At 49.2% G+C, this 10465-nt stretch overlaps 1 protein-coding gene across 1 annotated transcript; it reads right to left on the reverse strand.

Moving 5' to 3' along the window:
• Window positions 1-6374: 6374 nt before the first annotated feature.
• On the reverse strand, window positions 6375-9773 carry CST4 (cystatin S). Its single transcript, NM_001899.3, has 3 exons — window positions 9477-9773; window positions 7823-7936; window positions 6375-6712 (listed from the first exon to the last, which is right to left on the reverse strand). Exons 1-3 carry the CDS (start codon window positions 9702-9704, stop codon window positions 6629-6631), a joined length of 426 nt encoding a protein of 141 aa, NP_001890.1. The 5' UTR covers window positions 9705-9773; the 3' UTR covers window positions 6375-6628.
• Between the last annotated feature and the right edge of the window lie 692 nt (window positions 9774-10465).

The following is a 10465-nucleotide window of genomic DNA, read 5'->3' on the forward strand; positions in this document are numbered from 1 at the left end:
TTATGGATAAGAACCAGCTAAGGCTGATTCAGATGGGGCATATACTTGATCTTTGTTTATGGCGAGATGCTTTCTGCTGCCTCAGGCAATGGGCTATGTTGTGGAATGCACAGTGGTGTGAGCTCCCTGTACAGTCCTGGACTGAGGGACCAAGCTGGCTTGGGCCAGAGAATGCAGACATGCCTACATGTCCACCAGTGGTAGGTGCAAGCACTATCTCTGAAGTCAGATAAAGAGGCAGCTGCAAAACATCCAGAGATGTGCCTGGGTATGGAGGGGATAATCCTCTGCTGCCCAGTGTTCTCTGCCTGGAAAGGGAGTGGTAACCTACCCTCCTAATCTAGAAAAGCGAGTACTCCACATGCATGAAGATACGTCCAGGCATGCAGCACAGTGGGTGCTGCTGATTCAAGACCTATGCACCTGAAGGGAGGGGTGGCTGAGGCTCCTAATCCAGGTGAGAAGGTTCTCCAAATGCCTGGGAATGTGCCCAGCATGGAGTGGAGAGGGTGCGTCTGCACCAAGATCTCTGCATGAGAAGGGAGGGGAAGCTCAGGTTCCTATTCCAGGTAAGTGGGTACTCAACATGCCTGGAAATATCCCTGAGCAAGACAGAGACGGCACTGCTGTACCAAGATTTCTGCACAGGACAAGAGAAGTGACTCAGGGTTCCAGTCCAGTAGAGCAGGTGCACTGAGTGCTTGGAACTATGCCCTGGAGAGGAGTGGAAAATAAAGACGCACTAAGATCTCCGCATTAGAAGGGAAAGGCAACTTATACTCCTAATCCAGGTGAGGGGGTGTACTGAATTCTTGAAATTATGCCTGGTTGTGGAGTGAAGAGGGTGCTTCTGCACCAAGATGTCTGCACAGCAATGGAGGGGTGACCCAGGATCTTAATCTAGGTGAGCAGATGGGCCAAATGCCTGGAAATATGTCCCTCAGTGAGGAACAAAAAAATTTGCTGCAGAGTGGAGAAATGGCTGTTGCAAGAAGCTCTGTTCATGGGAGGGGTGCCAGGCCCTTATTTCAGGAAGTGGAAGTGTTGAATGCTGGGAAATATGCCCAGGCTTGGACCTGAGGGGGGGGTGTTTTTGCTCTGCCAAATTATTTGCAAGATAAGGGAGCTATGAACCACACTCCCCATTCACACCAGCAGCTCAAAACTGGTGGGACACACCTCCCAACTGACAAAGGGGGCAGGCTGGGGCACCCAGAAATGACACCCACACACAAGTCCATGACTGCATAGCTGTTCCTGGCCATAGTACCTATCACTCAGGAAAAATTGTGGCTTCAGCAACTCTCTTTAGTATGGATTTCTATTTTTATTTCATTTTGTCTTATTGGTATTGATTTCTATTTTTATTCCACTGTGGTCTGAGATTACAGTTAGTATGATTTTCCTTTTTTAATTTATTGAGACCTGCTTCATGGCTGAGCATGTGGTCTGTCTTAGAGCATGCTCTGTGGTCCCATGAGAAGAAAGTATGTTCTGTGGTTGATGGGTGGTGTATTCTGTAGATGTCTATTAGGTCCAATTGGTCAAGTATCAAATTTAAATCCAGAATTTCTTTGTTAGTTTTCTACGTCAATAATCTATCTAACACTGCCATTGGGATATTGAAGTACCCCATTATTATTCTGTGACTAATTCTTTTTGTTGGCCTGGGCATACTTGTTTATCAATCTAGGGGCTGCAATGTTGGGTGCACATGTTTAAGAATAACTAAGTCTTCTCGTTTAATTGAACCCTTTGTCATCATGTAATGCCCTTCTTTGTCCTTTCTAAATTGCTGTTTTGGGATTAAAGTCTGTTTCATCTGATGTGAAAATAGCAAACCTCTCCCTTTTGTGTTTTCTATTTGTGTGATAGATCTCCCTCCAACCCTTTTTGTTGAGACTATGGGTGTCATTATGTGTGAGATGGATCTTTTCAAAGACAGCAGATGGATGGGTCTGGGTTTTTAAATACAACTTGTAATCTGTGCCTTTTAAGTGGGTCATTTAGGCTGTTTATAGTCAAGATTAATATTTTTTGTTTGTTTGTTTGTTTGTTTGAGACAGAGACTTGCTCTATTGCCCAGGCTGGAGTACAATGGCACGATCTCGGCTTACTGCAACCTCTGCCTCCTGGGTTCAAGTGATTCTCCTGCCTCAGCCTCCCAAGTAGCTGGGATTATAGGTGTGCACCACCATGCCCAGCTAATTTTTTGTAGTTTTAGTAGACACTGGGTTTCACCATGCTGGGCAGGCTGGTCTCGAACTCTTGACCTTGTGATCCACCCGCCTCAGCCTCCCAAAGTGCTGGGATTACAGGTGCGAGCCACTGTGCCCGGCCCAAGGTTAATATTTATATGTGAGTTTTTGATCCTATCATGAAGGTGACAGCTGTTTTCCTTGTAGTATGTATTGTGTTGTTGCTATCTACTGTCTCTGAACTATGCATTTAACTGTATTCTTGCAACAGTAGGTGTTGTTCTCTTATTTCCATCTTTAGACCTCGTTTAAGCATCTCTTGTAAAGCTGGTCTAGTGGTAACACATTTTCTCAGTGACTGCTTGTCTGGAAAAGATTTTTTTTTCTTCTTTGCTTATGAAGCTTAGTTTGATGGGATAGGAAATTTTGTTTGGAATTTATTGTCTTTAAGAATGCTGAAAATAGGCCCCAAAAGATTGGGTTCTTTCGACACCTAGTCAAAAATGAAAGTGTTATCCTCATGAAAATGTACTCACTAATATGGTATGTACAATAGTTAGTGTATCATGAAGTTTGTTTTTATTTTATGTTATTTCGTTTTTCATTTTACCCAAGTGAGACCCAAATTGTTTTATTTTTTACAGGAATTTAATGAGATAGGATTTCTTGACTTTCACATTTGTAGGGTGCAGAACTGTGTAGTGAACTGCTCACAGCAAGGATGTATGCCTGTGAGGTGACACAGACCCGATGGATCAGACTTGGCCTCCATCCTCCTCTTATCCTGATGAAATCTGACAGCTCCAGACAACACAGATGTAAAACTTTGACCAACAGTAAGATGGCTTGAAGAAATACTTCTTTCAGGACAAACTCTTTCTGCACATTCCATAAGGTAATCAATATAGGATATAATTATACATTTGCACAATTTTGAAGCCCACTACAACAATGAGAGTTTTAAAATGCTGTGATTAGTGATCATTGTCAATAGAGTCTTAACGATCATCAATCTTAAGTCAAGAAAATTTAGAAAGTACTAAAATCTTAGTGCTCACATGAAAGAAAACTGGAAGCTTTTCCAAATTAGACAACAACCAGACAAATTTGCATAATATTACCAATGTGAGTTTTGAAGCAGAAAGAAAATGTTATAAACCATGATTTTCACAAGTAGGATTGATTGTAGTATTTCATAATTTTGGATGATTGTAGTATTTATCAGAATTTTAAAGTGATCAAACTGAGTGGAAAGACTGGTTTACCTTTCTGCTATATTTATAGAAAATTCTATTATAAAATCAATGTCATGTGATGAGGCAAATTGTGACTCAATAGTTGACTATGAAAACATAGAAATAACTTATTACACTGCTGTGTCAAGTAGCTAATTAATAAAAATGCTATGTTAGCAAGTAAAAAGAACACAAATTTAGGAAGGGCAAATCTGCCCTTTCATCTGCAAGGTGCATGGATGGACTGATGAGGACAAAGCCAATGACATCATGAACAGGAAACAATGTTTCTCTCAAGCTGCAGGTTTGAAAAGTCAGGAAGCCTCTTCCTTGGCTGAGGACTGCTTTCTGACTCAATGGAAGACCTTATTCTCTAGTGTCAGGGGCTGTCAGAAACTTTGCTTATGAGTAAGAAGAACATCCCACTGCCTGGATGATCTATATCCACCTTTACACAGAAGCACAGAGCTACAGAGAAGGGGTTTCTGGATGGAACGTTCCACATCTGGCTGGACTTTATGGGTTCTAAAGACACAGGACCTAGGTCCACTTTGCAGACGAGACTTGACACTGGCTGCTTTACACTGAGGCCTGCCATGCTCTGAGTCCATCACTACAGCCTCAAAAATCCCTCCCCACAGTCTTATAGTAACCTCTTTGCTTTGTTTTTTGAATCATCCCAGATATCTTGATGTGAATTTATTCCCTTTTTGCAATAAGCCAATAATCTTGAGTCTGTTAACTGCAAAATCAGTTTTGATGACTGATCGCACTAGGATGTATATCATTTTTCTGGAATTTGGGATGATTGTTGTATTTATTAGGACTTTAAAATGAGTAATTTGTTGTGACTTATTTCCTCTTCTTAAATAAACACTAACTTCTGTGCTTAGTTTCAAATTGGTTATATTATGCTATTTTTCATGCAGATAACCCTCTGAATTATGTAAGCCTCAGACCTCACGGAACCTGGGTTGTCTGTGGTCATAGTGCTGAGAATCCACCTGCCCAAGGAATGACCGCACTTGTTCCTGCTTCCCAGGCCTCCATTGGATTTATCTCTCCTTCCAGAGTGATTTGTCTATGCTGAAGGTGGAATTTCTAACCTCTGTGGTTTTACACTTTTAGCAAGAATATGTGACATTATTTTTGCTAAAGGAACTCTTAGAAGGGGTGCAATATTTCCAAAACATGACCCTTAGGAGACTTTTTTACTCCCAAAACCCGGTAGCTTCCAGAGAGAGCCCAGATCCTCAGCTTGGTGCAGAAGACAAAGACCCACATGCTCACCTTCAAGCTTCGCTGTCCCCTGCTCCCCACCTAGGGAACAGACACACAGGGAGATGGTGGAGGGAGCCCTCTACAGAGCCAGACTTTCCCCTCCACTTCCCCAGGAAGAGAGAAGTCAGAAAAGTTACTGGTTTACAGAAAATCACCTTTTCCTTGTGTCCTTGGATGGTGGTTGCTTATGTCAAGACAGACCCTCCACCAGGTAGAGAACCATGAGGATCTCCATGCAGGGAAGACTTTGCCCCTAACCACGATTCCTGGGCACATGCTGTTCTGCTCTCAGCCCCTCTTTTCCAACAGAAGCCTGAATCAGTGTGTGCACCCCCCGACCCCCCTACACCGGGTGAGACCCAGACTCAATTCTCCTCAGCTCATGGCCTCCTGGGCGCTGCTTCACTTTTTTCAACCCAAAACCTTGGTTAAATCCCGTGGGGGTGGAGGGGAAATGAAGGAGGTGCTCCCCACTATCCCTACCAGATCATTCTCCTCCTGGCTTTCTATGTGCGGCACATGGGGTGCTGGCCTCAGGGCTGTTTGGGCAGTTTCCCCTTTGTCATTTCCCCCTCGGTGTTCATGGCAGCCACTCTTGGTCAACACAGCTCTTGGCATGGAAGATAGTTGAGAGCCCTTCCCACAGGCACCTGCCCTGAGGGCTGCACCCCTCTGCCCTGAAATGGCAATGGGAAAGGCCATGCAGGGTGGGCGGGCTCTTAGGACTGTAGCCTCTTCTTTGGAGTGCAACTACCCACTATTCTACAGAATGGTTTTGACACTAAGGTGATGTTATTTATTAATTAAAACATCCTTTGTGAAAAAAATCGAGTGTCCACTGCATGTCACTTCCATTTGTGTTTTAGCTTCTCCATCCCTACCAAGAAACCTGACCTGAGTGCTGGTTTTAAATCCAAGTCTAGAGAAAGGGCGGCTGGATGAGAATGTGTAAAACCCTTCTAGGGCACAGCTTCCTAGCGTAGGAGACAACCTCCCAGCCTGGGGCACACCCTCCCAGGATGGATGACAGCAGGCTCTGCTTTCTCTGGGTGATCCTGCCCATCTTTGGTTTGGGTGGCATTTTTCCCAATCAGTTACACACACACACACACACACACACACACACACACACACTTTTGGACTTTGTTTCCATGTTGGGTCCTAAAGTCTCCTGTGGAAAGAACTACACGTCAATCGCTGTCTATTTAGTGTCTAGGGGATCTGATGAGAGCAGCTCAGTCCCTGGAGTCTGCTCCACTCTGCAAGCACAGATGGAATCTACGTCCTGGCGAGCTCCACCGAGGCCTGGCCCCTGCCTGTGGACACAACCAGCCCCCTCCTCCTGGTCTGACCAGGACCTCAGACCAAAGCACCAGCCCAGCTTCTGGGGCAGCTGCCTGGGCCCCCTCCTCTCCCTGACCCCCTCGCCAGGGGCTGCTGCAGCTGAAGGCTTGGGTTTCCAGCCCCTGGCTGCTCTCTCCCTGTTCTGAAGCTGAGGTCTCCAAAAGTGGCAGCAGCTCCCCTGATGGCCTTGCTGTGGCCGCATCAGCTCCCAGGTACTCCTGTGATCTCCACACCACCAGGACAAGGAGGCTTCATAAAGGAACTGCAGAAACTCTGCCTGTGTGCACATCCCCAGACAGCCAAGAACTCAGAGGGAGGCGATGCTACTGTTTAATTGCAGGAGGTGGGGGTGTGTGTACCATGTACCAGGTCTATTAGAAGCAAGAAGGAAGGAGGGAGGGCAGAGCGCCCTGCTGAGCAACAAAGGACTCCTGCAGCCTTCTCTGTCTGTCTCTTGGCACAGGCACATGGGGAGGCCTCCCGCAGGGTGGGGGCCACCAGTCCAGGGGTGGGAGCACTACAGTGGGTGGGAGTGGGTGGTGGTCGGTGTGACTGGCCTGGCACAGACCCCTAGGCTTCTTGACACCTGGAATTCACCAGGGACATTCTGTCCTCCCAGGGAACTTCGTAGATCTCGAAAGAGCACAACTGTTTCTGTGAAAGGGAAGAGAGAGGGCCAATCAGTGTGGGTTACAGTTAAAGGGGAAGATGCCCAGGCATGAGATGTCACAGCCTGGGTGAGGAGGATGGAGGTGAGACACTGCACCCTCACCCACCCCTGCTGAGTCCCAGAGCACTGAACTAGAATGAGTAGTGACTGTACCATTACCCCTCCCAAGGCTCCAAGTCACCAGGTGGCATTGGGCCCCCACCCCAGCCTGCAGTGTCCTGTCCCATCACAGCCCTGTGAGGAGCAGCCTGGGCAAGGCCTCGGGAGCCCCAAGGGTGCAGGACATGGGGAGGTGGCTCAGTTCCCCCAGCTCCTTCCACCTCCAGCACCCAGGCCAGCACTAAGAGGGGCCAGAGGGAAGAACCCAGGGCAGGGCAACTCCCCCTCAAAGAGCTGGGGCATGGGTCAAGGGCAACAAGGGGAGTGCCGCTCTCCCCTGAGTGGAGACCTCACAAGAACCAGCAGGTTCTTGGAGAGGCTGGTGTTGGGTGAGCCGGGCAGGTCCAGGGCTTCCCAGCTAACAGGCCTCTAGGTCCCACTAATCTGATTGTGGCTTTGGCTGCATGCAGGTGCCTGAGGCTGGGATTAGACAGATCCCCTTCTCCCTGCCCAGCACCCAGCCCCGCAGGTGATTCTTCCTGTCCAACAGGCAACACCCCAAAGCAGGCAGTTGACCTTCTAGTAACCATTCCCAAGCTAAAGCCTTCCTAGCAAATCAAACACATCACCCCCTCCCTCACCACCCCATCTGCACACACATAGGCAACTACGTAAACTCACTTGGACCCCTCATCCCCATGGATCTATGTACAAACCCCCATACTTCCGCCACACACCCACACACAGGCACACATGCTTCCATACACCTACCCGCACACACTGGCACATGTGTGTACACACGTGCACCTTTCCACATGCACACCTACATGCACACCCCCCCATAAGTACATGAACACGTACACATCCATGCATACACGGCTCCCCACATACCCACCTGCACACACACACCGTCCAAACATGGGTAGGACAGAGGCTGACACATACGCACCCCTCTGCAGTGCATGACTGGCCCGGGACCCGCATCAGGAACGTACCTTCTGCAGTTCTGGCTGTTCATGGAAGGCACAGGTGTCCAAGTTGGGCTGGGACTTGGTACATATGGTGCGGCCCACCTCTACGTCGAAGAAGTAATTCACCCCCCCAAAGGTCTGCACACAGGAGAAAACAGGAAGCACGGACAGCGCCCCCATCAGTTCATGCACTCACAGGCACTTCACTGTGGCTGAGTCACTGGACTTGCTTGGGGGCTTCGTGAGCTGCCCACATGTCAACACAAGGCACACAAGCCCCCTCTTCCTGTCAGCTGGCAGGGTGCTGAGCCTCATGCCCGCTCTTAAACATCGTTTTCTCTGTGCTGGGTAAGAGGATTCATTGAATTCTGCTACCTGTGGCTCAGGGGTGAGGGAACACTGACTCTTTTCTAGGAAGGCTGTCTGATGACAAAATTTCAGCTAACTCACGAAAATCTTATTCCCTCCATTTAACCTAGATTTATTACTTCACTTAGAGTAGGAAATGAGATGCTTCACACACACAGATATTTTGGGTCAATGGGGCCGCCCAGATGCCACCATTTCAAGTGTGAGGTTCAAGATACGTTTCTCAAGTCAGCAGCACACCTGAGTGTCTTACAATTGCAGATTATAATTGAACCCTTTCCCTGCACAGGGCCTCTCCCAGACACTACGTGGCAGAGCTGTGGAGAAACCTGGGATGAGGGACTCTTTGGAACCAGGAGGAACTGCTGAGATCCCTCGAGTATCAGTTTACCCATGTATAAAATAGGCTTCCAGGTCTGATGGTCTGCAATGCCCTGTGCTTCACTCCAAGTTACTGTCATGCTTAAGAGGGAGATGCAGGCCAGCGGGGACCATGGCACCAGGGAGTGCACCTCCTGTGCAGGGTGAGGGCTCCAGCTGACAGCTGTAGGAGGAGAAACGGGACTGGTCTGGATTCCTTTGAATTTCTAGAAGGTGGAGGAGCTCTAAAGGCTGTGTCACTATTTGCTGCTCTGCCATGGGATGCAGGTCAAGCTGGGCCCAGTTGCCCTGCTGAAGCTCACTCTGGACCTAACCCCTCCTCTGCTCTGCTGGGTGACTGCTGTCCTCATCTGGCTGAGGTCTAACTCTGCATCAGCTCGTAGAGGCAGGGCCAGGCGTGCTCCACCCCAGCAGGGACTCAGCCATCCTGGCCTGCAGGGGTGGGTCAGCCTGCCTGAGGGTGAAGGCCACTAGCCCTAAGGGGCTGTGCCCAAGGGCATGACTTGGGGAAGGAAGAAGGGCTCTGCAGAACAGGGAGCCAGGTTCCCATGTGGCCCCTGAGGAGAGGACTCAGGGAGGAGAATGAGCCTCACCGCCTGGATCTCATCCTGAGCAGCATCAAGCCCACCCAGAGTCAGCACAGTCTCCATCCACACCTGCTGGACGCTGGGAAATGCCACGGTCATGGTACAGACACAGCAGCTGCTGCAGGTTAAAGGAAGCTGCAGCACTTCCTTTAACTGTCTGCAGTGCATGGACCGGGAGCATGCTTAGGCATGAAGGGCATCAGCGGAGAGTCAGAGAAAGCTGAATGAATCTGAGCATTAGATCATGAATGTGTCAGTGTTGATTTGCTTGGAATGCTCTTGGGGGTCCGGCAACAAACCAGGCTAGGGCTCAGGACCCCTCGGGTGGAGGCAGCACCCACCTGCTCCCTGGCTCGCAGCACCTGCAGCGGGCGTCTGTAGTACTCATCTTCGGTGGCCTTGTTGTACTCGCTGATGGCGAAGTGAAGGGCACGCTGTACCCACTCATCATTGAGGTCTGCATCATAGATGCCACCTGGGATTATCCTATTCTCCTCCTTGGAGCTCGAGGCCAGAGCCCCAGCCAGGGTAGCCATCAGGAGTAGCAGGGTACACAGAGGCCGGGCCATGGTCTCCTCAGAGGCAGAGCACAAAGCTGGAGCTGCAGGAGAGGAGGGTGAGAGCCCGAGGCAGGGAGCCCAGACCAGCAGGCAGGTGTGCATTTATCCTGCTTTGGCAGCCCAGCCCCACCCACCTCCATGCCCTGCCCCTGACTCCTCCTCCTCTTTCTGCCCATCCCCTCTTTCTCCATCTCTCTTTTCACTCCCCCACCACTACAAGCTCCCTCCCTGCCTAAGTTCCCCCTGCCCCTCCCAGGCCTCCTCCTCCATCTCCCCCTCCTCCCCACTCCAGTCCTCACTGCAGCCTCCCTGAGCCATGCCTCTCTTCCCCAGTGCTCCCAAGCTTGAGTCACCCAGGTCTCCACAGAGGTGACACTGGTCCTTTGACTGTGAAAGCAATGTGACTTCCTGTTTGCTCAGAAAGGGGAAAAATACAGGGCTTGGCCTCCCGGGGTCTTCAGATATCAGAGGCTTCCAGGAGCACTTGGTCACGGTCTCTGAATCTCTGGAACAGAGAGGTTATTTCAGAAGGTTCCAGAAGACCCTGTCCACACCCTAATATGGAGAATTTCTTTGCCAAATTTAAGGGAATTAACCTTTTTGGAAAAGGTCACTGGCTTCTGTTTTCATAACTCATTATTCAATAAACAAACCTATCACCAGTTACTGCCCATGCCAGGAGGTCTAGGGCTTGAAGACGGAACCTGGATGATGAGCCATAGAGGTGACATTGCAGAGCTGCTGCCCACAGAGATGTGACATGAACCCAC

Source organism: Homo sapiens, chromosome 20 (assembly GCF_000001405.40).
Source record: "Homo sapiens chromosome 20, GRCh38.p14 Primary Assembly".
In the NCBI taxonomy this organism is placed as follows: domain Eukaryota; kingdom Metazoa; phylum Chordata; class Mammalia; order Primates; family Hominidae; genus Homo; species Homo sapiens.

Excerpts from the sequence above, each read along its gene's own strand:
- CST4 (NM_001899.3), bottom strand. The coding sequence starts at position 9,704 with ATGGCCCGGCCTCTGTGTACCCTGCTACTCCTGATGGCTACCCTGGCT. Across the intron at positions 7,937-9,476 it reads TGCTGCGAGCCAGGGAGCAG|ACCTTTGGGGGGGTGAATTA; the intron begins GTGGGTGCTGCC and ends TCCTGTGTGCAG. Across the intron at positions 6,713-7,822 it reads AACAGCCAGAACTGCAGAAG|AAACAGTTGTGCTCTTTCGA; the intron begins GTACGTTCCTGA and ends TCCCTTTCACAG.